Below are 27,200 nucleotides of genomic sequence, written 5' to 3' on the forward strand. Positions count from 1 at the left end.
CCACGGTGGATGCCAGGTTCCCCAGACCAAGGGCTGCCAGGAGCGGAGGCACTCATTTGCAGCCGAATCCTCAGGAAATGCCCTCAGCGAAAACCAGCCACCTCCACCAAGGTCAGGTCGACCCCGAAATGCTGGATGAATGTGCACACTCGCTGGGGCACCCTCCTCTTCCTCCCCTGCACAAAGAGCACTGCAGCCGAACCCCAGCCTCAGGCCACGGCCAGCACCGCAGAGCCACAGGGCAGACGCCGTGCACACCAGACCTGCTGGGCCACAGCCAGGCCCGGGTGGTGAAGGACGGGGACCCAGGCCTCAGGATGGGGAAGGTGGTGGAGGCCCTGCTCTGAGCCTTCTAAGCTGGAGGCCCCGGCTTAGGGGCCATGCATGGTCCCACCTTTCGGGTAACACCTCCCCACCCCAGGGCCTGCCCCCAGCTGCTCCTGAACATGCCTGTCCCTGGAAGTGCACCACATGGAATCTTCCAGAAGGTACCTGCTGAGAGAGGGAAGGGACGTCCATGGTCCTGCAGGGCTGAGAGCCGTCAAGGGAGACAGGCACAGCACATAAGCAATGCCAGTGACGCAGGAGAGCGAGAGCCCAGCTCAGCCCACGCCGGGGACCAAAGGCCCTGAGAAGTGACCGTGCTGGTAGGCGTGGTGTAAGGCTGGACACTGCCGGCTGACCTGCTCCCGGGGGCCCAGGAGACCCTGCACTGGCCACTGGGAAGAGTGGGCAGCAGCAGCCTCCCTGGAAGCTGGGGTGGCCGGGCGGTGTGGGCAGGGCTGGCGGCCAGACACCATCACAGAGCCGGGCCCCTGATGGCAGAAGGGGGCCTGACTGTCAGAAGGAAGGCAGGGCCGTTGTGGGGCTGAGCAGCAGACTGAGTGGTGTACCGGGGCCTGCCCCACAGAGGTGGGAGTGAAAGCCGGTAGCACCCAAGCCCCGGGGGCAGGAGAGGTGGGCAGCAGCTCCACCCACCCCACTAAGGCAGTCAAGACGGAGGCTGGGGCCACAGGCAGCTGCCCAGCAAACCCAGCATCCCACGCAGCCTCCCCCCTGGGGCAGGTTCCAGATGCAGAATCCAGACAGGAGAGGGGAAGAAAGAACCCTAAATGCACAGAAGCCTTGGGCAAGGGTCCCCCTGGCCCTCCCAAGGGGCGCTGGGGAGGAAGGGTCTGTCCAAACGGTCAGGGCAGTGGGCTGGGGACAGAGCAGACGCCAGCATCAGGGAACTGCAGCCCCGCCGCGCCCCCATAGAGCAGAGCAGGGAACGGGAAATGAATGGGGACCTTCCAGACGGAGCTCACGGAACTCCCAGAGGTCATTTCCCAGATCCCCAATACGTCACTGGAATAGCCCAGTTGTCCTGACCTGTAGGGAAGACCATGTGGAACCTTCCAGAATGTCCCTTTCCCACCCAGCTGAGCAAGGGAGACAGTGGGAGAGACAGAAACCTAGACACAGTGAGATAAAGACAGACATAGAGACAGTGACACAGAGAGACAGTGAATCAAATGCATTGTCACGCCCCAGGTGGACGGCAGAGGCCGGCCCCCACATAAATCCTGAGGGGTGCAGAGGGGCCTGGTCCTCCCCCAGTCAGTTCCCAAGTCTGGCCTCTGCAAATCCAGCAGGCCCTGGATGGGGCAGTGGCTATGGCTGACGGACCTGCCAGTAACCCAGGGGCCCTGTGCCCCGTGACGGCTGCATAGGATGCAAGCTCTGGACTTGGGCAATCTCTGAGGAGCCACCCCAGCCCCAGAGCCCCCGCTGGGCAGGTGAGGCCTCTGCTGTGCCCCGTCCTGGCCTTCTCCCCACAGCTGCCAGCCAGGCCACTCCCCAACAGACAAACCTGCCACATCTGTATTGGACCCACGTGCTGCAGAGCTCAGGGACATCTGTGGTGACCTGGTCAAGTGTGTCAAGCCAGGTGGCTGTAGGCAAACTGCCCACTGTTGCTCTAAATCATCTCCCACCACCTCAAAGCTGCCCCCGGTCACTGGTGCCACTGGAGGAAGGTTCTGGGAGGTCCCACGTTGGGTGAGGGACACAGGGTCACAGACACTGGCCTTGTGGGCGCTTTGCCCCCTCTCCCCTTGGCCTGAGAGCAAGCTGGTCCCATGCCTGGGGGCCGCAACCGAGAGCCAGGCCCCCTACAGATGTAGCGCCCCTTCCGAGGACTCCTGGCACCTTGAGCTTCCCAGGGCCTGGGGATGCCGCTCTCCCGCCCATGAGTCCACCTCGCAGAAACCCTCAAGTGCCACCCAGACCCTACTCAAGTCCGGGCCCCTCGCTTACGACTCTCCCTCCCATCCTCCACTCTCCTGGCCTCTCCCCAGGGCCCTGCTCGGGGCTGCTGACCTTTGGGAGGGAGGCACAGTGATGCTCTGGGTGCTGACCTTTGTGGGGAGGGCACAGTGATGCTCGGGGTGCTGACCTTTGTGGGGAGGGCACAGTGATGCTCGGCGTGCTTACCTTTGTGGGGAGGGCACAGTGATGCTCGGGGTGCTGACCTTTGTGGGGAGGGCACAGTGATGCTCCGGGTGCTGACCTTTGGGAGGGAGGGCACAGTGATGCTCGGGGTGCTGACCTTTGTGGGGAGGGCACAGTGATGCTCGGGGTGCTGACCTTTGTGGGGAGGGCACAGTGATGCTCGGGGCCGCTGACCTTTGAGGGGAGGGCACAGTGATGCTCGGGGCTGCTGACCTTTGTGGGGAGAGCACAGTGATGCTCGGGGTGCTGACCTTTGGGAGGAGGCACAGTGCCTGGAGGATGGGCATCTCCTCACTGGCCCTTCTATCCAGGCCCCTTGCCAAGCACAGGGGATGTGCACAGCGTGCGTTTATGAACTGAGAGCAGAAGCAACAGCAGCCACAGGCTCCCGCATCCCCCTTGTGCCCTGAAAGCACCTCGGTCCAGGGGTCAGGCTGGGTCCACAGCTCCCGTTGGTGGCCTGGGCTCAGCGGCCCCCAGCTTTTCCTGGAAGACGCAGCACAAAAAACTGATGAGGCCGGCCAGGCTCCCTCCAGAGCCCTCAGGGACGCAGGAGGCCACCAAGACCAGAGGAACATAAATCTCATGGCCTTGGACACTGCCCAGTTGTAAATATATTTTTCGCCCCTCCATTTATCACAGCTGCCTCTGATGACACCCACCTGGTGTGGGGCCAGTTGTCGTAGCTGCCCTCCTCAGCACCTCCCCGCAGGATTGTCCCCAATCCATCTCTGACAGCGTCTGCAGACAGGAGCACAAAGCTGCCACCAGCCCCCAAACGGCCACCCTGACGCCGGGCTGACGGCGCCATCCTGGGACAATCTCTGCCTGGGCACCAGGCCTCACTCCAGGAACCTTCTGCTGTGAGGTCTTTGGGCACCCTCTCCCTGTTAGCCCACTTCCCATCCCTGCTTCCACCTTTGGGACCTTCTCCCTGTTAGCCCACTTCCCATCCCTGCTCCCACATTTAGGACCCTCTCCCTGTTGGCCCACTTCCCATCCTGTTCCCACCAGAGGAAGTGCCTTCTGGGGCGACATTTCTGAGCCACCGATGCTACACATTTAGTACTAACCCAAGCCATAAACCGTTTGTATCCATTTAAAGTGTTGAAAGGATAAAACCAACAACCTATAATTCTGTACCCAATTAAATTATCTTCTTAAAGTCAAGGAGAAATAACGGATAAATGGAGAAATAAATGGAGAAATGGAGAAGTGGATAATAGTAACCACATATTTGGCGATTATCGCTTATGGATAAGTAAAATGAATGACACCAAAGTTGTAAGGGATTGGAACACTCTGCCATGAGGCAACTGCACTGCCTGTGACGTGGCACCACACTATTTAAAGTGAACCTCTCTGTTCACTGTAAATGTATATTGCAAACTCTATGACAACCAACAAAAAAAGTAGAAAGAAAACAAGAAGTGTAACTGATTTGCTAAGAGAGGAGAGAAAATGAAATCATACAAAATTCTCAATCAAAACCAGAGAAGGCAGAAAAAGAATGGAAGACAAAAAAAGAAACAGAGACCGAGCAACAGCAAACAGTAACCAATGTGGCCAACAGGAATCCAGCTATGTGGATGGTCGCTTCAGAAGTCAGGGGTTGACGTGCATCCATCAAAAGAGAGAGACTGGGCCAGGTGCGGTGGCTCACGACTGTAATCCCAGCATTTTGGGAGGCTGAGGTTGGAGGATCACGAGGTCAGGAGCTTGAGACCGGCCTGGCCAAGATGGTGAAACCCCATCTCTACTAAAAGTACAAAAAAAAAAAATTAGCCAGGTGGGGTGGCGGGTGCCTGTAGTCCCAGCTACTTGGGAGGCTGAGGCAGGAGAATCGCTTGAACCAGGGAGGTGGAGGTTGCAGTGAGCTGAGATGGCACCACTGCACTCCAGCCTGGGTGACAGAAAGAGACTCCTCGAAAAAAAAAAAAAAAGAAAAAAAAACCTGACTCTATGTCATCCACAAGAAGCTCCCTCCAAATATAAAGACACACATAGATGAAAAGAAAGGGTTGGAGAATGATACACCACGCTAACACTAACGGAAAACACAGGAGTTGTGATTAATCCCAGCCAGGACCAGTATCAGGGATAAAAGGGGCACTGCGTGGTGATCAGGGGTCAGTCCCCTGGAGGGAGACTAGCAATCCTGAATGGGTGTTGCCTGACAGCAGGGCCCCCAACCCCACCCCACCCTGGGGGGTCTCCCCAGCCCCTGTTGTCTCCTGCCCCTGTCCCAAGACCTCTGGACCCACCCCCGGCACCCCCCTTGGCTGCACAGGGGACATTGCGGTTGTTAAACATGGTTGCAGTGGTGGCCCAGGCCCATCCCAGGGAGACACTGGGCTTCCCTGCCACAGAGCCGTGGGCCTGAAAGCACCATCTGGAGGGGTCTGCTCCTGCCTGTGCAGCATGGTGGGAGCTGACCCCACAGTGCAGTGCGGCTCCAGGTCCAGCCTCTAAGGAGGGGAGGGGCTTGGATGTGCCTGACCCACCCACTGAGGCGCAGGGTGGGGAGACCAGGGTGTGGTCATGTCAGGCTGGGGGGCCAGCTCCTCCTGAGCAGAGTGGGATCACCTGTGACCCATCCACAGCAAGGTCGGAGAGGTGGGCATGGCGAGGCTGCCTCCCAGCTCACCAGAGAGAGTTTCACCAACATCATCAAAGCCTTCCACGTCCACTGTGCACATAAGCCTCTCTCAGAACGATCGGGAGCTCAGTCGGTCAGTGGCACCGTTCTCAGCCAAGGACTTCGTGGAGCCCGGCCCATTTACATAGGTAACAAGAAGGTAAATTTTCATCTGATGCCTACACTTTGACACAGGCTCCTTCTCAAACATCTCCTGCGGACGGAAGGCAAGTGTCAGGCAGCACCACTCAGCCCGGCCACACCAAGGAGACAGGAGGGAGTTCCTCCCACCAGGAGGGCAGGGGTGGGGGACGAGGACACCCAGCCAGGCCATCCACAGCGAGGATGAGGTGGGACCCACCCACAGGCCCATGCTCCGTGCACAGGGGATCCATCCACAGACCCATGCTCCATGCAGGGGGGGATCCACCCGGGGGCCCACGCTCCGTGCAGGGGGGGATCCACCCGGGGGGCCCACGCTCCGTGCAGAGGGGGATCCACCCAGGGGCCCATGCTCCATGCAGGGGGCTCCATCCACAGGCTCCACTCCAAACTGTACGTTTTGGATGTAAACGGTTTCCTTTCCAGTTTTTCCCAGGCAGGTAGGAATTCAGGCGAACATACAGGATCCCTGGGGGACTGTTGGACGAGGGTCCCGCCCGCCGCTGGAATCTCAGAAAGAATGAGTCAGGGCTCGGGACCCCCACAAAGGCAGGGCAGGGGTGCCCCCCCAGGGGCTGGAGAGGAAAAGCTGAGAGTCAGAGAATGGGCAACAGGGCACGAGACAGGGCAGCTGGAGACAGGAGGGATGGTCGGGTCAACCCCGGGCACCGCCCAGGAACATGGGTCATCCCTGCCAGGGAACTCAGGGGCAGGTGGCTGAGGAGGCCTTCCAGGTTCTCTCAGTGGGGGATGAAGCCCTCACGCCAACCAGGCTCACAGATCCCAGAGGAGGCAGAGGCAGGAAGCTCGGCTTGAGCTGCCCAGGTCTCTGGGAGGCTCCTGTCCTGTTTCAGGCTCCTCAGCCCAGCAATGTCACCACACTGCCCTCACAGGGAAGGGACAGGGAAATGGCACATGCAGCTGTTTGGGTACAAAAGCCCAGGCAGAGCCCAAGATGCAGAATGAATGAATGGGAGTGAGGCGGGGGGGCCCTCACGGTCGGCCCACCCATGACTCCAGGCCCCAGGCAGGGCCCAGGATGCACAATGGATGGGAGCGAGGCAGGGGGGCCCCTTGTAGTCGGCCCACCCATGACTCCAGGACCGCGGCTCCCGGCTCTGGGACCGGCTGGGACAAAGGGAACACCGCCCACTCTGACACTCATGGAAAGGATTCGGATCAGCCCACAGACCTCCTACAGGCAGGGACCCCCACATCTGCCACCCGACAGAGAATCGGCCGCTTAAGTCTCCAGGATGAGAGGCAGCTGGGTCGTAAATTGGCTTCTCACTTTTGGGGACCCTAAGTGTAGCATTTCCTTTAACTTGAGCCAAACCCTTTGTCCCAGAATATCTTTGCTCCTATTTCCCCGGCCCCCTGACTGCACCGGACACCCCCTGAAACGAGAGCATTGCCTCAAGCACTGCAGGTGGCACTGAGTCCTTCTCAGTCCTCCAGACCTCGCCCTCTGTGGGAACACCCCCCATCACTGCCTTCCAGGGCGGCCACTGTCGTCTGCGCTCGTGGCTCCCATGCTCATCCTCACTCAGCAAATTGCAATCAGCTCCGACAATGGCCTAGTTAAGGGCACCCACCCAATGACGCCCCGGCTGTGCATACAGGAAGCGTCGTTGCCAACCGGACACATTGCTGCCAGAAACAACTGAGTGTGTTTTGGAGACGCCTCCTAATTGAACTGATGCACTCAGGAATCTGGGTGGTGGAGGCCAGCTCCCTGCAGGGAAGGCCACCCCGCCTTCCAGGCCTCCTAATTAGGACTGAATGCTTCATTTTCTCTGCAGGCAGGCAGGGGTCATGGGTCAAGCGCTGAGACTTACTCCGTAATTCGAGTTAATGAAGGATTCCCAGGGGCAGCTCTGTGCATGCATCCAGGAGGCGCGCGGCCTCTGGCGGAGCCTGACAGCTGTGGGTGGACGGCAGCAAGCACACCTTTAATTGCTGCCAAATTTTAGTCCTAGGTCTTAATGACAGCAGCCCTGGCTCCAGAGCGTGAGGCTCTCTGGGAGAGTCAGGGGCTCCATGTGGGGGGCTCCGCTGTGTGAGTGGGAGGAGCACAGAGCAAGATGATGGGCAGCGGCTGGAGGTCACAGAGCAAGATGATGGGCAGCGGCTGGAGGTCCCAGAGCCCCACCCAGAGCCAGCAATGCCTCCTGGGCTGGACTGGAGGCTGCTGTGTGGGTCCCTGTTCACTGAGCCTGCAGGAGGCAGAGAATGGGGAGAGTCCGTGCTCCTCTCAGACCCTGTCACAGAACAAACAGCACTGGGCTGGAGCAGGGAGGCTGGGGTGCACGGCGGGGCTGGAGCAGCGAGGTTCGGGTGCAAGGCTGGGCTGGAGCAGCGAGGCTGGGGTGCAAGGCTGGGCTGGAGCAGCGAGGCTGGGATGCAAGGCTGGGCTGGAGCAGCGAGGCTGGGATGCAAGGCTGGGCTGGAACAGGAAGGCTGAGGTGCAGGGCTAGGCTGGAGCAGGGAAGCTGGGGTACAGGGCCGGGTTGGAGCAGGGAGTCTAGGGTGCAGGATTCTAGGGTGCAGGATTGGGCTGGAGCAGACAGGCTGGGGTGCAGGGCTCGGCTGGAGCAGGGAGGCTGGGGTGCAGGGCTGGGTTGGAACAGGGAGGCTGGGGTTCAGGGCTGGGTTCAAACAGGGAGGCTGGGGTGCAGGGCTGGGTTGGAACAGGGAGGCTGGGGTTCAGGGCTGGGTTCAAACAGGGAGGCTGGGGTGCAGGGCTGGGTTGGAACAGGAAGGCTGGGGTGCAGGGCTGGGTTGGAACAGGGAGGCTGGGGTGCAGGGCTGGGTTGGAACAGGGAGGCTGGGGTGCAGGGCTGGCCAGCCTCAGAACATGTGTGAGCCTCCACCCTGGCAGGTGGAGGCGTGGGCTCCCTGCTGGGCCACTCAGATGGATCTACTGTTTTCTCATGAGCTCATCCCTTCCGGCCTGTGAGGCCCACGGGCAGGGCTTTAATCCCCTATGTGCTGTTTCCAGAGCCTTCTCCCTGGCCCAGCTCCAGGCAGCCTCTCCAACCCCTTAGATTCTGCTGGACACACATATGGCCCTTGAGCCACAGAGGGTGGTAATGCCCGCGGCCCCTGTGCGTCCACAGGGCAGGTGCTGGCCAGGCCTCCTCCCTGCTTCAGTCCCCAGAGGAGACCTCGAGCCACAGACCAGTCCCTGTCCCTTCAGGGTGGGGTTAGTTCTGCAATCCCCCTGCCCACAGCCCCACCCCACAGAAACGTCCACCACGAGCCTTGGTAGTCACGCCCGGAGCCCGATGGAGACCAGCGGCTCTGAGCTCCCGGGAAAGTGGCCGGGGCCTGGGCCCTGTTCCCAGGAAGCTCAGCAAGGCTCCGTGCCCCACAACCTGGAGGGGTGGGAGGGGAGTCTGGGTTGGGATGGCTGCACCCTTGGCCCTTGGGGAGGAGCCCCCCACTACCACCCCCGGCAAGACCAGAAAGAAGCCTGGGTGTTGGGGGGAGGAGTTCAGGGAACCAAGCTCTGCGCAGACTCAGCGGGAGGATTTGGAATCGGAGCTGGAGTGTGGGGACGCCGGACAGATACCAGGGTATCTACGCACCCGGGAGAAGGGCCCAGAACGAGCGGGTGCTGGGACAGTCAGGAGCAGCCCTGGGAGGCGAGGTCACAGACGGGGTAACAATGAGGGCCCTGAGCACTCTGCTCTTCCCTGGATGGGGTCTGGGTTCCACGAAGCTGCCTATCCCAGGCCTCTGCAGCAGCTGCACGGGCAGAGCTGCCTCCCTCCAGCAAGGAGTAGGCGGGCACCACGTGGGCCCTGGGCACCCTCCGCAGGGGCTCCAGCTCCCACAAGGGGCTGCCCCATGGGCTCTGAGGAGCTACAGGCTCCTTCCCAGAAAGAAGCCCAGGAGTCAGCAGCTAATCCTCCCTCTTCCTCTGGAGCCCCCAGGGAAGGCAGGAGCCAGTGTGCCCCTCCATGACCCCATGCCCTATAGGGACTCCTGTGGGGAAGGAATCTGGCCTCATCTACAGCTCCACAAGCCCCAGGGTGCATCTGAGCTGGGACCAGCCCCTCTGAGGGGCTCACCCTGAGCACCTTCCTTGGCAAGGCAAGTGTTTGGGACGCATCCTTCTGGGGAAACAGTGCTATGCTCTTCTCTGTTTCTCTGAAGATTTGAACTGAGGCCGGTTGCTCTGCCTGTGGGTATGATGCTTCGGACAGCACCTGGCTCTGAGGACAGAGGCCCTGGACCCAAGCCACGCGGGCCCACCTTCTCCTGAAGATCTGGGCTAACTGGGAAGCAAAAATAATTACTCTTGTGCCAAAATGTCCTTGTAATTAGCAGTTCTGGAAGATAAATTGAAATATGTGATTTTTCAGGGTCCAGCCGGCCTCGGGACTGAACCCCAGTGTGTGTGTGTTTCAGGGCACAAGCATGTGTGTTTCAGGACACGCGGGGTGCAAGTGTTTCGGGGCATACGCGTGTGTTTCAGGGCACACCGGGTGCAGGTGTTTCGGGGCACACGTGTTTCAGGACACACGGAATGCAGGTATTTCGGGGCACATGTGTGTGCTTCAGGGCACACCGGGTGCAGGTGTTTTGGGGCACACGTGTATTTCAGGACACACAGTGTGCAGGTGTTTTGGGGCACACGCGTGTTTCAGGGCACGCCGGGTGCAGGTGTTTCAGGGCACACATGTGTTTCAGGACACACGGAGTGCAGGTATTTCAGGGCACACACGTGTGTTTCAGGGCACGCCGGGTGCAGGTGTTTCGGGGCACACGTATTTCAGGACACACAGCGTGCAGGTGTTTTGGGGCACACGCGTTTCAGGGCACGCCGGGTGCAGGTGTTTTGGGGCACACATGTGTTTCAGGACACACGGAATGCAGGTATTTCGGGGCACACGCGTGTGTTTCAGGGCACGCCGGGTGCAGGTGTTTTGGGGCACACACGTATTTCAGGACACACAGCGTGCAGGTGTTTTGGGGCACACGCATGTTTCGGGGCACGCCGGGTGCAGGTGTTTCGGGGCACACGTGTTTCAGGACACACGGAGTGCAGGTATTTCAGGGCACACGCGTGTTTCAGGGCACGCCAGGTGCAGGTGTTTTGGGGCACACGCGTGTTTCGGGGCACACCAGGATGCAGATCTCTTACTGGGTGCAAAGCCCCCAACTCCTTCCCCGAGCCACCAGAGTACGGCTCCCAGATCGGAGCAGCCCCTCCTCGGGCCAGGCAGGGTGTGGACCCTGCCCTGAATGCACTCAGCTTCCAGCCGATTCTGCCCCTCCCTCCATTCACTGCACAGGCAGGCGCTGCAGGCCGTAGGGAGGGCGTGCGTCTCGGTCCTCCCGCTCCGTGTCCAGTCTGGGAAGTGTCTCAAGACCACCCTGGGAGAGGCCTGGGCTGCGGCGCCTTCGTCCCTCTGCTCCGCGCAAGGCCGGGGATCCTGCTCTCCCGGAGCGAGGGTGTCCGGCAGGCACCAGCGGCCAGCAGCAGCCGGGGCCGGGCCTCACCCGAGGACCGAGGTGCCGATGAACGCTCATGTTCGGAAGACACTGGCTCCCTGGTTTATGTATTTACTTAATTTTAAGTTAGGCTCCCCAGATCCCTAAATCAACAGTGGATTCTGTAAATTGTTGCGTCAGAGGAAAATCTAAGCGAGCCCGATCGCGGGAAGCACCGTCGCCATGAAAGGCGGTGGCTCAGCGCCACCTGCCGGGACGCGGCAGCCAAGGGAGCCGGTGTCGGGGGAGGCCTGAGGCCTCGGGTCCTCGGGAGGAAACAGAGCTGTTTGCAGGAACAAAGGAGGAAAGGAGGGCCACGGCTGTTCGAAGAATTCTTACACGAAAGGCATGAAATTAGTTGGAATCATTTCAAGGAAAAAATCTTCCTCCAAATAGGCGCTCCTGCGTTTAGCAGAAGTGGGTTTCATTGCCATTGAGCACGGCCTGGGGTCTGCGGGGCTGTTTTCAGAACCGGAGGGAAGCAATCCAGCTGCACACAAGAGGTCCTGGGGAGAGGAATCCTCCAGGGCCTGGAGTCCCCGCTCGAGCTGCGTCACACCTGCTGGGTTGGAAGCCTCCACTCAGCGGGAGAAACACAATCCCTGGCTCTGGTGTTTGTGGCAGTAAAATCCCCATCCCTGCAAAGCCACTGGGCGGAGGCCAGGCCTTGCAAGAGGCCTCCCTTTGCTGGAGGAAGCCCTGGGCCCTCGGGGACCCCGCAGGAGGCAGACGCTGGGGACAGGGTCCGGCCCACGGGCAGCTGCGTCCCTCCCCAGTCCTGGCCTCCCTGCCTCCTCTGCTCTTTCTGATCCCCCCACCGGCTCCCACTGCCCACAGGGCGCTGAGCCAGCAGCAGAAACTGAGGTGGAGACAGCCTTCGGCCCTCAAAATCTGTGAAGGAGTCTGGACCCTGGGAAGGCACCGAGGACTGCCCAGGATCTCAGAAAAGGATGACAGCCAGGTCCCTTCCTTCCTTCCTTCGTTTTTCAAGTTGTTGGGTTTTTTGGGGGGGGGGGGTTTTGTTGCTGTTTTGAGACAGAGTCTCGCTCTGTCTCCCAGGCTGGCGTGCAGTGGTGCGATCTCGGCTCACTGCAACCTCCATCTCCTAGTTTCAAGCGATCCTCCTGCCTCAGCCTCCTGAGTAGCTGGGATTACAGGCGCCCGCCATCACGCCTGGCTAATTTTTGTATTTTCAGTAGATTCAGGTTTCACCATGTTGGCCAGTCTGGTCTCAAACTCCTGACCTCAAGTGACCCACCCACCTCAGCCTCCCAAAGTGCTGGGATTACAGGCATGAGCCACTGCGCCCCACCGTGTTTTTCAAATGTTGATGGCAGCTCAGTTGCCCCCCATTTCAATAAATGCCCCCCGAATCATGTGTGAAGTCACTCAGGTTTAAGGCAAGAGGCCCCTGGTCTGAGGGAGCAAATTCTCTTTCATTTTTCCAGATAGCTCCATTTATTACATACTGAGAATTTATTTGAATTTCTAGTAGCTCAAAACTTTTTTCATTTTCCTGTTTATTAAGAAACTCAATTCCCAACCAGAGCAGCTCAAAGCTAACAGTCAGGCCGAGAGCACATTTTCTCTATAATTCACCACCAGGCCCGCAGGAGTGGGAGGTGCCCGCTCAGGGAGGGCCGACGGCCCTTCACTCTCCTCCTCGCTGGGGACGGGGCCTGGGGTGGGGTTGGGGCACATCTGGGGCCTCCCCTCCTCCAGCACTTCCACCTCCAAGTGAGCTGCCAACCCAGAGCTGTCCAAGCACCTGGGCCACTCCAACCTGCCCCCAAGGCTCCTGGTGGGGTCTGTGCAAGCTCCTGGCAGGGTCTGCGGGGTCCATGGATGTGTCTCCACCCATCAGCCCTGAGTCTTTTCCATGAGCTGAGCTGCTTGCACCTCTAATCCTCATCACAGCTCTGCCAGCCGGGCACCATCACCACCATCCCACCTTACAGCTAACGCCAGTGGAGCCCAGAGAGGTTTGGCATCTTGCCCAAGGCCACACAGCTCTTTGGCAACATTGTGGCTCCAGAGCCACTCTCTGGGTGTGCAGCCGAGGGGCCGGCTCAGACTGGGTGGCAGCCTATGCTGAGAACCAACCCAAGGATCTGGCTCAGGGCGTGGGTGTCAGGACAGCGCCCGGGGCCACCGTGGAGACCCAGGAGGAGCCAACGGGCCTCTGCCGACCACTGGAAGTCGTGACGGGGGCTGAAGAACAAGTCGCCAAGAGCAAAGGTGACCCGGGGTGGCACAAGTGTCTGGGATGTGCAACATAGAGGGTGTAGCTTCCTGGGTGGCTGGGGACACCGGAATTCCACCCAGGGATGGAGAGAGAATCCTGCCTGGGGACAGAGAGAGAATCCCATTCATGGGCACAGAATCCCACTCAGAGTCACAGAATCCTGCCTGGGGACACAGAATCACACCTGGGGACAGAGAGTCCCACCAGGGGACAGAGAGAGAATCCCACTCAGAGACACAGAATCCCACCTGGGGACAGAGAGAGAATCCCACTCAGAGACAAAGAATCCCACCAGGGGACACAGAATCACACCTGAGGACAGAGAGAGAATCCCACTCGTGGACACAGAATCCCACTCAGGGACACAGAATCCCACCTGGGGACACAGAATCCCACCTGGGGACACAGAATTGCACCTGAGGACACAGAATCCCACCTGGGGACAGAGAGAGAATCCCACTCAGGGACACAGAATCCCACTCAGGGACACAGAATCTCACCTGGGGACACAGAGTCCCACCTGGGGACAGAGTCCCACCAGGGGATAGAGAGAGAATCCCACTCAGGGACACAGAATCCCACTGGGGGACAGAGAATCCCACCTGGGGACAGAGAGAATCCCACTCAGGGACACAGAATCCCATCGGGGGACAGAGAATCCCACCCAGGAGCACGCTGACTTTGAGCCACCCAGGGCTCAGCCCAGACTCGCGCAGAACACGAGGAGTCAGGGTTTTAATAAATTGAAAATAAAACTTTAAAGCTTCAGCCCCACTGGGTAAAGTTTTCCTTGGAATTAATTTCTAAGATAAATTGTTTTGGAATTGTTTGGTCCATCTCTTCTAAGCCCCCAATGTTTTTCTGATTAGACATTTTCATCTAAACAGGACTGACGTCTGAATGGCACCTCAATCCCGACAGTATTGACATCTGCCAGCCCAGAGGTTTATGGGGAAAGTATGGATTCCTGGCCGGTGGCTTTACTCAAATTGAGCTGCATTCTCGCTGAAATGAGATGCTGGCACAGCTGCCGGCTTACCTCCATGGCTTCTGTCCACCGCGGGGCTGGGGTGCTGCAGGGGTGAGGGGTGCAGGGTGGGACTGCACCTTCCGGAGGGAGCCTGGGGACGGGAGGGTCCAGGACGAGGGAAGGGGAGGTCCTGTAGCCGGGTGGGGGTGGGGCTGGACCTTCTGGAGGGAGCCTGGGGAGGGGAGGGTCCAGGACGACAGAAGGGGAGGTCCCGTAGCCAGGTGGGGGCGCAGGGCAATGGGGTTAGGGTCCACACGCACCTGCCCAGAAGCTTAAGGCAGGCCATGGAGGTCCTGTCCACAGAAGGTGGGCGAGGCACCAGCGAGCCCACCACCTGCTTCTGCACTGGGACCATTTTCTTTAAGGGCACATATCCTTGGTAGAAGAAAAACCAACCAGCTGAAAAGGCAGTGAGTGTGAACAAAAGGTGGATCCAGGGCATCCCAGCCATGCAGATGGATGGAGGGCGAGGAGACCCCCACCCAGGGTGGGCCGCCCTGGGGAGGGGGCTCCCTGCAGAGCCTCAGCCTCCTCCTCTGCACCCCAGGGAGTGAGGAGCTGACCACCATGCAAGGTCCCATGAAGCCGAGGTCACAAAAGAAACGCAAGGTCACAAAGAAGCGCAGCAATGTGGGGAATGCCTCGCCAACAACACAGGACCCTGCAAAGGCGACGGGGGAGGGAGGCCCCCAGCCTCCCCCAGGGTCCGGAGCAGCCAAGCCCCATGAGGCCTCCTTCCTCGGGAAAGCATGGGTCAGAAAATCTGGACAGTGCTTTTCCCTACTTGGATTCAGACTCACATTCACAACCTAAAGACCCTAATAAGGTCCTCAGGCAAAAATTAAGGGGGGGTGGGGCTTGTGTGTCCAGGGGAGGAACCAGCCCAGGTCCCCACCCATAGGAGTGCCCGGGCCTGGGCAGCACCCTCGGCCTACTGCTGAGTGCATCCTGGCGGCAGCTGTGATACAAACCAAGCCCGTGATGATCACAGGCACCTCTGACGCTGCCCAGAAGCTTCCAGAATCCTGCCCTCGGTGACCGCCCTCTCGCCCCACCCGCCCCTCGGTGTTGACACAGACGCAGGTCCACAGGGCTCTGTCTGGATGTCCGGCTGTGAAGCTGGCCCCGGGCTCACCCGCCTCCCACTCCTGCCTCACCTGAGGCCCAGCCACATCCCTCCAGCCGCATGCCAGGGGCCTGGGCTCAGGGGATTCCTCAGAGCTGGACCCCCTGGTATCTCACTGGGCCCGGGACCCAGGACGACCACTCTTGACTTCTCCAAAGCTGCTGTTCAGAAGGCCTCCCAGCAAGCAGAGGGTCAGTCATTAAAACCCACTGGACACAAACCAGATAAAGCCACAAACCAATGCCTTGCTCGTAGCACACGGGAATTCTGCAGAGACAGCTGGACCACCCGTCTCTTTCCAATCTGAGGCAGGACGGGGGAGCGGTAGTGCAGACACAGGCCCACTCGCACAGCATCGACCTGGACGCCTGCACCCTCAGAACCAGGAGCAGCTCGGGAGCATCCTTCGCTGCACCCTCCTCCGGGAGGGCCACTAAGAGGGCCCCACCGCCACTGCTGCCAGCACAGGAGCACACGGGAGCTAACCCACCCCACGACACCCCAGGAGTGTAGCCCAGGGACACGGCGGCAAGCCCACCCACTCAGCCTCCTCCCAGGGATACACACAGCCTGGCTTCCCTTCCCTGAGCACCCGCCCTGCCCCGGGTGAGGCCAGGCCTGGACGCCTTCTCGCTGCAGGCCCTCGGAGATGTTTCCCAGCACTGACGGTGCTGAGGACAGAACGCTGGAGGCCGGGCCACACTCAGGGGAGACGCGAGGCAGCTCCGGGGCCTGGGAGGAGTGCGCTCTGTGTGGCCGCAGGACGGGGAGGCAGCGCTGCTCTAACGCCTCCCGCTGCAGGTCCCACAGGGAACGAAGTGGTTTAGTGCTCAAGGTTCTAGGGGTTTAAATTACACTATTGACTTCACTACTTTTTCCTTATACATTATAACCAATAGCAAGACAATGTTCGATGTTTTGATGAAATGTTTTAAAGATAACTTTGCACGGCCCCACTTGCCCAGCCATGGTCATGTTTTAACGCCAAGAAGCAGAGCGTGGATGGGCTCCACGACGGCGCCTCCTGCCCGGACTCTTGTTAAGGTCCCACAGGAGTGTCCCCAGTGGAGCCTCGAAGCCACCCTGGGAGGGATCTTCAGTGTCCCCAATTTACAGACGAAGAAACGGAGGCCCACGGGAGTCAGGAACAAGCCCCAGGTCGCACAAGAAATGCAAAGGAAGCCACATGGCTCCAGAGTCCAGGCTCCGAGACCCACCCGCTGCCTGCTGGGCAGCTGCCCCGGGAACCCTGTCTGGGCACCTGGATTTTCCAGCCACGGATTTTCCCCGCTGACAGCTCTCGCCGTTTCCTGGGTCTCGAGTTTATCCTCTGTGAGGGCCGCCCCTTGTGGCTGGGCCATCAGCTCCCTGAATGATCAGCCCAGCCTCATCCAACACCACCCAACAGGACAGGTCCCCGCGGCCTCTGAGACCTCCCCGGGTGCCCCCAAAACACAGGCCACAGAACAGCCAGAGAAACCGCTTGCTGATTCAGTGTTTAGACTCTTGGATCGAATTCTCAGTTCTTCCAGATGTGATTTAGCCTGCTGCATTATTTAGCTAACTTTCTGTGTCAAAATCATAACTTCTTAGAAATTTTTCAAGGTACTCAAAACTGATTTCACAGTCGATTTGGGGAGTCACCGCAAGAATCAGTCAGAGAGGAGGCTCTGTGAGAAGGGAAACTGAGGCTCAGCAGCCTGTGACGAGCCCCAAGGCGTATCCACAACACATCCTAGGATCACAGAGCCTGCTCCAGCCGGCGGAGTGGTTCTCTCGGCTCTGTGGATAACTGAAAGCTCAGAAACATCAAAAGTTAATTAAAATAAGAATATGTTACTCTGAAATAATGCATTAAAAACGTCCAAAGGTGAGCCTGCTCCACTTCATTCCCCTCCGCATCTCCCGAGCACGGCTCTTCGGGCGGACGGAGCCCCCAGCAGCCCCTGTTGTCATTCTCTGAGCGTGGAGAACCCCCATTTCTATCAGCCGGTAATCCCATCCATTGATTTGAATTGTTCAATGTCAGGCTTGAAAAGGCGGATCAAGTGTCCTTTGGTCCTGGCAAAGAATGAATCATTTGGCACCAGCCCAGGCCACAGGCCGGATAAAGCCCGCTTCATCTGCAGTCTGGCCTTGCCTGGAACGCCAGTGGCCGCCAGCGCCCCTGACCCGGGCGGTCGCACCACGATTATTCAAATCAGCTCTCTCCATAGATCTCAGAATAAGCAATCAATTCATTTGATAGGGTTTAAAGACAAAGAGCAGAGCTCATTAAATCAAGCTAAGCCTCTGCCATCAAAGACTGGCAGGGACTGAGGCTGAGTCCGGCCTTCCCTGCAGCCACACAGAGGCTCCTGGGGAGGGAGGGGCAGGGACCCAGCACAGGTGGACCTCAGGAGTCCCAGGGCCCCGTGCCCATCCCCCTGCCCTCACGCCCCCTCTCTACCCCTGTCATTTCCTACCCCACCCACACCCCAGGACCCCGACCCCAGAACACCTCGGACCCCGCCCTGCCTCCCAGCCTGTCATGGGTGGGTCTGTCTTTCCAGAACTCCCTGCCTGGTGTCTCTCATCTGCCAAACAACCTCAAACCCAGGTGGCCTGTCATATCCTAACATTTTCCTGGAGCCCCCAGGCAGGACCCACAGCCCCTCTGCACCTCCTCTGCCCGTTCAGAGTCACAACACCACATGGGAATTGTGTGGCTTCCGTGGCACCCTGACATGCATCTGGCTTCCAGACACAGAGGCCCTGGTCGGACTTCAAATCTGCTTCCCAAGTGCAGGGCCTAGGATGAGGTCCTTGGTGGCTGGTGCCCATGCCACAGGCAGCCAGAAGTAACCGGAATGTCAGCAGGTCAGCAGGGAAGTCATGTGGGGGAGGCCGTGTCCCAGAACAGATAGGGTCTGCTTACCCCCAGTCTGTAAAGGCCCCCAGGAGGGCAGCCCCTCCAGGCCTAGGTCTGGGGCCAGCTGGGTCCAGGGGGAATCAAGCTTTTCCCAGGGAGCCAGCTGCCCTCACAGTGTGGGCAGCTCCCACCCCACCTGCCTTCTAGGGTCCTTACCCAGAGTGAGCCACGTGCAGGGCCCCCAGCCCCCAGAGTCAGGATGAGCATCCGGCCTACGGCAACTAAAGGGAGGAGGCAGAGGCCAGCCGGGAAAGGGATGGTGCTGCCATGGGGACGGGTAGGGAGAGGGGTGGGGCTGCCCTGGGGACGGGTCGGGAGAGGGGTGGGGCTGCCGTGGGGACAGGTTGGGAGAGGGGTGGGGCTGCCATGCGACAGGTCGACCTGGTCCACTGGCCCCAGCCTAGCTTCCAGGAGGCCAAGGTTCTGGGCCCTGCAGTGGGCCCCTCTCTCCTCAGATCTTGCAGAGGCACCTTTGCCAGTGTCGTGTAATAAGGACCAGAGCTGACATGTGGCTGGGTGCCGTGGCTGGGACACCATAGAAGAGGCACAGGCAGCCCCCATGGCACTGAGGCCCCCAGAGGGTGCGGGTCTCGGGAGGGGGCTCCCTCAGGCCTGCGTGTCACCACTGGGCTGCCACCCCATCCAGCCCACCCTCTAGGACACAGCGTGGAGACTGCCACTGAGCCAACACAGGAGCCCTGTGGCCACAGCACGGAGGTCAAGGGCCTGCCGTGCCGACCCCTCCAGAGCCCACACCTCCCCACTGCTGAGCACACTGGAGCTGCTCACCGGCTGATGCCGCAGGCCAGGCCAGGACGCTCGGGTCACACCTGTGTCTGAGAGTTTCTCCCACAGCCACCGGCTCCAGGCTGCCAGGGTCCCATGGCAGTGTCGGGAGCCTGGCAGGGGATGTGGGCCAGCCAAGGCCTCCAGTTCTGCCAACTCTGGCCAGCAGGTGTGGAGCTCCTGCCCAGCAAAGCTGGGAGTGCGAAGACACCCGCCATCGACTTGGCAGGATGCGGAGTGGTCCCAACACGCACAAGGCACTGGAGCAGCATCGCAAGCTCCTCCAGCCCCACCGCGGATGAGGACATCTCACGGTTGGATGAGAGAGCCAAGGCCAGGCCACAGGCTGCAGGAGGAGCCAAAGGCACCCAGGCCCACCCCCAGCCTCCACAGGCTGGCACCTCCCTGCCCGGCCCGTATCTTGGTCAGAGGAAGATGCATCCTAGATTGGTCAATCAATTGGCATTGGCGGTTGCACCTGACCATGGGCCTGCAAGACGCCTGCCCACAGAAGCCCCCATCAGCACCTGCTGATCCAGGACAGAGCCCACACCCTCCTGTTTCTAGACCCTGTGCTCGGGAGCAGGACGGTGCAGACGTGTGTGGGAGCTGCAGCTGGGGCCTGCCCACAGACACCCCAGGGACAAGGGCACTGTCATCATGTCTGCTCCGGTGTCCCCAGGAAATCCCACCTGAAATGCAAACAACCGCCTTTCAGAAGAGAGTTCGTCTGCCCCGGAGACGAGCATCCAGATTCCTCCATCATGGCCAGAGACTCTAGTAGGGACCTCCTGGGGCCCCCAGAGGGCCCTGGCCCCACAGTCGGCAAGCAGAAAAGGTGCACCCATGCTGTCCCTCTGTGACGTTCCTAAACACAGGACTGGCTGGGCGACAGTAAAAGCCAGATGGAGCCTCTCTTCCTCTCCTCTGCTCAGTGGGACTGGAAGGGCTTATTACCCTAATTTTGAAAATGTATTTTGCTCCATGTCTGATCTATCCACACAGGGTCCCCAGGCATTCCTGCAACTACACTACAGCGAGAAGCCCCATCGCAGGCCCGGGAATCCAATCAGGTAAAATAATCAGTGTAGATGTTGCGGGGAGGACACGCTCATCCCTCCTGGGCTCACCCTCACCCAGGCAATGGTGCACACCTGGAATGTGAGCCTCAAATCCAGTTTCTTGAAATGACCTGGCATGCTGGGGGAAGGGAGGCGATCAGACAGGACAGTGCCATCTGAGCCGTGAGGATGGTGGCGTTTTAAACACATACATAAGGATGGTCACGTTTTAAGCTCATACTTGCTCAAGGCCAGCACCTTGCTCTCAGTCCCTTGGTGCGATTGTGTTACCTGGCAGGGGTCCACCTGCCACCTGGAAACTTCCCCTAGGCGAGTAGGATCCAGCTCCCCTGGGCCCAGCTGAGACTCAGCCCAGGCGCGTAGGCTCAAGGGCCTCAGGAGGGGTTGGGCAGCCCACCACTGTCTGTGGGTCCAGGGGGGATCCAGGGCCAGCACTCAGCCCCCATCACAGGACAGCCTACTGGACACAGGCCTGAAGTCCGGCCTCGAGAGTCGCCTGGCACCTTCCCCCCAGATAGGCAGGCTCCTGGACAGCACAGGTGGCCCTGTGTGTGGGGGGTGTCACCTGCACAAGAGGCAGGGACAGGAGGGAAGGGCCCAAGGAGTAAACAGGACCCCGTTTTTAGGGGAGGTTGATGGTTTCAGTAGATCTGCCCAGTGGTGTGAACACCTCAGTGTGGAGTTCTGAGACTCACTGCCCTCCAGCCTCCTATAGGGCCAGTCCAGCTGGATCTCAGCACCCCCTTGTCTGGTGTCTGGAACCTGAGCTCCCAGGGAAGCCAGGGCTGGGCATCTAGTGGCGCCCGAGTTCCCTCGCAGTGCTGACAGTACATGAGGATGTGCCGCCTGCCCCTGGGCCAAGCGTGAGTGACTGACTCAGGGTATTTACAGAAAGTGCTGGCAGGTGGCCATCCCCTGAGCCTGGGCTCCGCATTTACACTGTGTCAGGGCTGAACTGAGGGGTCCCCTCTGCCAACTCCTCCATCACCCCAGCACAGGCTCATCTGTCTGTCTCCATCAGTCCCCACACACCCATGACCAGCGACTCCCAGGTACCAGGACATCAGGAGAGGAAACTGAGGCACATAGAGCTTGAGCACCCTGCTCAAGGGCCTGAGCTGCTAGGCCTCTGATCCTCATGAAAGCATCACCAATGCTTACCTACCAGGGAGTTTGGAGCAGCCCCACCCACCCCTCAGCTGTGGTTCTGAACCCAGCTGGCCGCGCCCCTCCCACGGGGACAGTGTCCTCAGGAGAGGTCAGCAAACCCTGTGGCCGGGCCTGGACAGAGAGCCCTGGGTCCCGCCTCCCACAGGCAATGGTCCCTCCTGCCTGCAGATCCAGACTTCCCTGAGAGGCGCCCCAAGCCTCCTAGAGGCTCGAGCCACAAAGGGCAGGCCCTCTCACTCAGTGCCAAAGAGCCTGAGTGGACGCCAGCTGGGGAGCAGACCACCATCTCTCAGGGCCTCGTTTTCCCTACCCAAACAGCAGAGGGGTGGCCCATAGTGGCCCTGCCCCAGTTCCCAGGTTCTGGAGCTCCACAGGAAGAAGACAGTACCCCCTGGACACACAGTTTGACCCAGGTGTGAGTTCCTTCCCCCGGCAGCACTGGGCACCCACATGCCCCCCCAGGGGCTTGCCCAGCCCAACGTCAATGCCCCCTTGTTCTCAGACTCATCTCTGATTTCCTGCTGCTGGAATTCTAAATCAAATCCTTGCACAGCTGAAATGGGGAGGCAGGCAGCCATATTTGGTTGGGGAGCAAAGCATTTGAGAAATGACCGAAGCCAAGAGCCAGGCCCAGTTCCCTTCCAGGCCGTTCACACAGCTCAGGCTGGTGCGGAAGCTCCCAGCTGGGTAGCTGGGGTGAGCAGGGGTCCCTGTGACCCAGCCAAAGGCGTGGGCAGCACTGCCAGTCACTCAACTGGCTGCTGACACAAGTCCCAGGCCATCTCTCCTTCCGGGCTGTGTCCACGCCGCGTGAGGCATCCAGCAGGGCCAGTCACTCACCTGGCTGCGGACGCGTCCCAGGCCATCTGTCCTTCCAGGCTGCCTCCGCGCTGTGCAGGGCATCCAGCAGGGCCAGTGTCCCAGCCAGGCCCTCGGCTTCTCCCACTGCATCTGTAGCTCTGGGTAATTCGCTCTGGAACTGGGTTTGACCAGCAATGCCGCCGCCCATTTGATTTACAGGAACCCGGGTCCTATTTCCACCTGCTGCAGCCCACACACCTGCCCCCACCCCATCCTAAGGCCCAGAGCTTCCAGAAGACTCCAGAAACGGCCTTGCCTGGTGGGATGCCCCACAGCCTTCAGGCTCACCTCCCTCCACCCATGGAACCCCCACAGAGGCCACCAGACCTGGCCCCTGGGCACCTACTGGGTCCCCAACAAGCTCCGCCCTCCAGGGCCAAAGTGCATCCCCTGCTCACCCTGACCCCCAGCATTGACCCCTCTGCCCACCCAGCTCAGCTGGATGCCTGGACAAGCATACAGACTGTGGGTCTGGAGATGGGGGTGGGTCAGTGGGTGTGGGGACGGAGGATGGTGACCACCATGGGGGCCAGGCGGGCCATGTGGACAGAGAGCGAGCCAGGCATTCTGTGGGGTTTTAGGCTTTTCTGACTCTGCCCACTCCAGTCAACCTCAGCCACCCGAGGCCCTGGTCATCGAAGAGACCTCATCATGGGCAGTCCCTGCACCCACAGCCCAGCCCTGAGCTCACAGCCCTCCTGCCCTTCTGCCGATGGATGGTAGATGGTAGATAGGTAGATAGAATGACAGGTGGATAGGTGGATAGTGGATGGTGGATGGGTAGATGGAATGATGGGGTGAATGATGGGGTGGATGGTGGATGGGTAGATGGAATGACGGGTGGATGGTGGATGGGTAGATGGAATGATGGGTGGATGGTGGATGGGTGGATGGAATGATGGGTGGATGGTGGATGGGTGGATGGAATGATGGGTGGATAGGTAGATGGAATGATGGGTGGATGGTGGATGGGTAGATGGAATGAGGGGTGGATGGTGGATGGGTGGATGGAATGATGGGTGGATGGGTGGATGGAATGATGGGTGGATGGAATGATGGGTGGATGGAATGATGGGTGGATGGAATGATGGGTGGATGGTGGATAGGTAGATGGAATGATGGGTGGATGGTGGATGGGTAGATGGAATGAGGGGTGGATGGTGGATGGGTGGATGGTGGATAGGTAGATGGAATGATGGGTGGATGGTGGATGGGTAGATGGAATGAGGGGTGGATGGTGGATGGGTGGATGGAATGATGGGTGGATGGAATGATGGGTGGATGGGTGGATGGTGGATAGGTAGATGGAATGATGGGTGGATGGTGGATGGGTAGATGGAATGAGGGGTGGATGGAATGATGGGTGGATGGGTGGATGGAATGATGGGTGGATGGAATGATGGGTGGATGGTGGATGGGTAGATGGAATGATGGGTGGATGGTGGATGGGTGGATGGAATGATGGGTGGATGGGTGGATGGAATGATGGGTGGATGGTGGGTGGGTGGATGGAATGATGGGTGGATGGTGGATGGGTGAATGGAATGATGGGTGTATAGTGGATGGTGGATGGGTAGATGGAATGATGGGTGGATGGTGGATGGGTGGATGGATGGATGGAATTATGGGTAGAAGGGTGGATAGTGGATGGTGGATTGGTAAATGGAATGATGGGTGGATGGTAGATGGTGGATGGCGGTTGGGTAGGTGTTATGACGAGTGATAGTGGATGGTGTATGGTGGATGGGTGCATAGTGGATGGGGGATGGTGGATGGAATGATGAGTGGGTGAGTGGATAGTGGATGATGGATGGGTAGATGGAATGACAGGTGGGTAGTGGATGGTCCATGGGCAATGAGGGATGGAGGACAGTTGGGGGATGTGGTGCTATCAGGGCTAGTAGAGGATGAAGTGACATAGTGCTTGCAAACCCAGAGAGCAGCGTGTGGCAGAGGAGCGGCCCGAGGGCAGCTGGTCTCTAATATTGCTGTTAAACCTCTCCATTAACCTAGAAGATCAAGGAATTTCTAGAACGGAGAAACACCTAGCCTTGATGCCTAGAACCTCTCCTCCCAAAAGAAAAGGGGAAGAGTGACAGTGCTTCAAAAATGTGCTAGGGGAGAGAGAGGGCAGCCCAATATTCTCCTGGTTATTTTTCAAATCTGCAATGCCACCCGCTGTGGACAGCCCCGCCAGGGCACCCTGGAAAGAGCAAATGGCCCCCATCTGCAGCACCATGAATCAGGCCCTGGTCATGGAAGCAGGGTCCACAAACAAAAATAAACCAGCGGTCCACAGGAAATAAACCAGCGGTGCCAGGATGTCATGGTGAGGGATGCTGGAAGGGACACGGTGGTAATGAACCCTGCTCCGCACCTGCTCAAGTGTCAGGTAGGAATACATTAGGAATATTTATTATCAGATGGATGAAGCAAGCACAGACCACACTTTCTCAACCTAATGCGTGGAATAAATATGTGTTTGGAATAACAGCATTTCTGGGACAATCCATTCGGTCTGGGGTGGAGGGAACATGAGAGCCTCGCCCCCAGGACCACGATGGCAGAAGAGTTGGTAACATGGGGCTGATGGCCAGGTCCACTGACCTTACTGGAGCTGCCCAAGCTTGATGGGAAGTACAGGAGTCCCGCGCCAGCCCAGCACAGCATGGAACCCACAAGTGCCCACCGTGGCCTGGGGAAGCCATTGCTCTTGTCCTAGGTCCCATGTCAAAGCCACACCCAGAGTCTCCTGTCCTGGATGAGGGTTGAATCCAGGTCCATGGACTCTTAACCCCCTGCCATTCCCCACCCCTGCATGCCCCAGGTCCTGTAGCTGGGTACGGTGGTCACACTGTGTTTGTGAGGCCAGTTCTAGCTGTCCTGTCCCCTCCAGGTGGTGTCTTGGGGGCTTAGGGGATGGGATCACCGTCCCGTGTGCACAGATGAGGCCGACCCCATGCCCTCACACCCCAGCCACATGGCCCTAGGAGGTAAGTCCAACAGCATCTGCCAGCCAGGTGTGTGCCCATATCCAACATGGAACTAAGAACTCGGATCATCTTCCAAACAACAGAGAGGACTGAATCGAGGGTGCTTCGAGGAATTTTACAGAACAAAAGAAAGAAAGAGAGAGGGAGGGAGGGAGGGAGGGAGGGAGACAGACTGTAACTTCTGCATCTTGACCTCCCATTGCCAAGTGGCTCTACAAACTGAGTCATCCTGAATTCAGAGAATGAGCCCCGGGGCAGGGAGACGAGAGCCTCACCCCTGTGACACCAGGCCCCCCAGGTGTGGGAGGGACAGGGGAGCCAGTCCTCCATGGAGTTTCCAGTTGAGGCAGGCCCCACCCCCAAGTCCCCGTGAGTGGGGCAGACAGGTGCTGGACTGGACCATGCACAACCTCAGGGAGAGGGCCCAGAGGGAGCAGAGGAGGCTGGGGCCCAGGGGCATAGGGCACATTCACAGAGCACCTCCTGTGCCATCCTCCCACCTGCATGCCCTATAGGGGGTAGTACAGGGGCCCTGGAAGCTCTAAGGTAGAAAGAGAGATAACCCAGAGAGCTGAAAGGAGGCAGAGGCAGGATTCAAGCCCAGATCTCTCATTGTAGGAATGAGAGGCGGCTTCCAGGAGCCTTGGGATGTGAGCTGGGGCCGGGAGACAGAGGGCGTGGGAGCTGGGTTGGGAAGGGGACAAGAGGTGACAGAGCCCCACCTTGGACCATGTTGGAGTGAGTGTATGCAGCAACCCGACCTCCACCCCTCCACTCGGAGCCACACCCACTCTGCGTGTCCTCCCAGCCTGCAGTGTAACCAGACCCTGAAGGGGCTGCTGTGCCCCAGGGACTTGCACTAAGGACGGAGTAAGAAGTATACGTCAGAGGGTCTCTCATCCAGGAAAACCAGGTTGTATATCTCACCAGCTACACACACTGCAGGCCCTATAGAAGGAAGTGGCAGGAGAGGGGACAGGTCTCCTCCCTCCCCAACACAGGGGGATCCCAACCCAGAGGGCCCAGGGGAGGTGGGAGGCATCACCAACTCCCAGTCCACACAGCTGCCTCCTGAGACAGGCGAGTCTGCATCCGCAAATAAAAAGGGCTGAGAAACATACCTTGCTTTCCCTGCAGCCAACCCCAGGGCTCCCCCAGGCGGCAGGGCAGGCAGATGCAATGGGCCCATGAGGACACCTTTCCAGGACAGTTGGTCACTTTCAGCCTTTCCCTTGCCTGCCCCTTTCAGATTAAGGATGGTGCCCACCTACTTTGCTGAGCCAGAGGGGCCCATTTGATAGAGAGAGGTAGATGGTAGTGTTGGCGAACAAACCTTTCCGCAAGGCCTTGGGGCCCCCACAGCCCCTGGGAGGGCGGCCCATCTATGCGGCCCGAGCCCGCCCAACTTCTGTGAGGGCCCCACGGTGAACCCATGAGTAACCCGCCCAGCCTGCACCTACCTCCCTGGAGCCTCCCCAACTCCTGTGAGGGCCCCATGAGTAACCGGCCCACAAGCCAGGGCCGCTCAGGGGTGCCTGCCCAGCCCCCAGACCCTCCAGTCAGTGTTCAGGGACGTTGTCTGGCACTTTGCTCCTCCCGCGTTGGCTCAGCTACAGAAACACTGTTACCGTGGCCGAGCCGCAGCCTGGATGCAGCTCATCCTGAAAAGAACCCCTTGCTGACGGCTTCGTTAAGAGGAGACTGGACACCCTTCTGAGCCAGGCATGGCCACAGAGGTGTAGGAAGCCAAGGCCATCTTACAGGCTGGATAACTGGGGGCTCCAAGAGGGACCCACATGGAGGGGAGCTCCCACCCTGATCCTCTCCAGATCTGCAGAGGCCTCAGACTTCAGGGTCATGGAAGACCCCCAAAGTGTTGTCTGAAACAGGCTCAGTGCCCTGAGTTTCCAAGGGATACGCCTGCGGTAGGATGAGGGGTATCTGTAGGATGCTGTTCCCCCTTGGGGTGGGGGGGCTTCTCCAACGAGCACTCAGCCCCAGTACAGAAACAGGGACACAGTGTGTCCATCAGCTCCTTGGAGTCTGCATTTCCCGCCCCTGGGAGTCCGCGTGTCCCACCCCCCAGGGAGTCCGCATTTTCCCATGCCCCCGGGGAGTCTGCATTTCCCATGCCCCCAGGAGTCTGCGTTTCCCGCCCCCCCCCCCCCGGGAGTCTGCATTTCCTGCCCCTGGACATCATG

The 27,200-nt window shown here is 59.3% G+C and overlaps 1 long non-coding RNA gene across 3 annotated transcripts in view, besides 5 other annotated features; it reads right to left on the minus strand.

Annotated features, from left to right (window-relative positions):
* The window catches only part of MIR3667HG (MIR3667 host gene), a 242,996-nt gene that overhangs the window by 207,179 nt on the left and 8,617 nt on the right, over window positions 1-27,200 (minus strand). Inside the window, exons 2-3 of one of the 3 annotated variants that reach the window (NR_171025.1) lie at window positions 3,156-3,234; window positions 2,745-2,979 (exon numbers count right to left, since the gene is read on the minus strand). The exons of the other annotated variants lie outside the window; for them this stretch is intronic. This is a non-coding gene — a long non-coding RNA (MIR3667 host gene). The remainder of the gene's footprint in view (window positions 1-2,744; window positions 2,980-3,155; window positions 3,235-27,200) is intronic. 3 annotated transcript variants of the gene reach the window in all.
* Window positions 6,651-7,611: an enhancer, noted in NCBI's record as "H3K4me1 hESC enhancer chr22:50022001-50022961 (GRCh37/hg19 assembly coordinates)". NCBI's record gives its function as "activates a minimal SCP1, AML or CMV promoter by ChIP-STARR-seq in primed H9 embryonic stem cells {active_cell/tissue: H9 hESC(primed)}" and the evidence as "EXISTENCE:reporter gene assay evidence [ECO:0000049][PMID:30033119]".
* Window positions 7,031-7,222: a silencer, noted in NCBI's record as "fragment chr22:50022381-50022572 (GRCh37/hg19 assembly coordinates)". NCBI's record gives its function as "represses an EF-1alpha promoter that drives an FKBP-Casp9 reporter gene in an ReSE screen in phorbol 12-myristate 13-acetate-treated (for megakaryocytic differentiation) K562 erythroleukemia cells {active_cell/tissue: K562(+PMA)}" and the evidence as "EXISTENCE:reporter gene assay evidence [ECO:0000049][PMID:32094911]".
* Window positions 10,856-11,448: an enhancer, noted in NCBI's record as "H3K27ac-H3K4me1 hESC enhancer chr22:50026206-50026798 (GRCh37/hg19 assembly coordinates)". NCBI's record gives its function as "activates a minimal SCP1, AML or CMV promoter by ChIP-STARR-seq in naive H9 embryonic stem cells {active_cell/tissue: H9 hESC(naive)}" and the evidence as "EXISTENCE:reporter gene assay evidence [ECO:0000049][PMID:30033119]".
* Window positions 11,449-12,040: an enhancer, noted in NCBI's record as "H3K4me1 hESC enhancer chr22:50026799-50027390 (GRCh37/hg19 assembly coordinates)". NCBI's record gives its function as "activates a minimal SCP1, AML or CMV promoter by ChIP-STARR-seq in naive H9 embryonic stem cells {active_cell/tissue: H9 hESC(naive)}" and the evidence as "EXISTENCE:reporter gene assay evidence [ECO:0000049][PMID:30033119]".
* Window positions 24,989-25,729: an enhancer, noted in NCBI's record as "H3K4me1 hESC enhancer chr22:50040339-50041079 (GRCh37/hg19 assembly coordinates)". NCBI's record gives its function as "activates a minimal SCP1, AML or CMV promoter by ChIP-STARR-seq in primed H9 embryonic stem cells {active_cell/tissue: H9 hESC(primed)}" and the evidence as "EXISTENCE:reporter gene assay evidence [ECO:0000049][PMID:30033119]".

The sequence above is a fragment of the Homo sapiens genome, chromosome 22 (assembly GCF_000001405.40).
Source record: "Homo sapiens chromosome 22, GRCh38.p14 Primary Assembly".
NCBI lineage: Eukaryota > Metazoa > Chordata > Mammalia > Primates > Hominidae > Homo > Homo sapiens.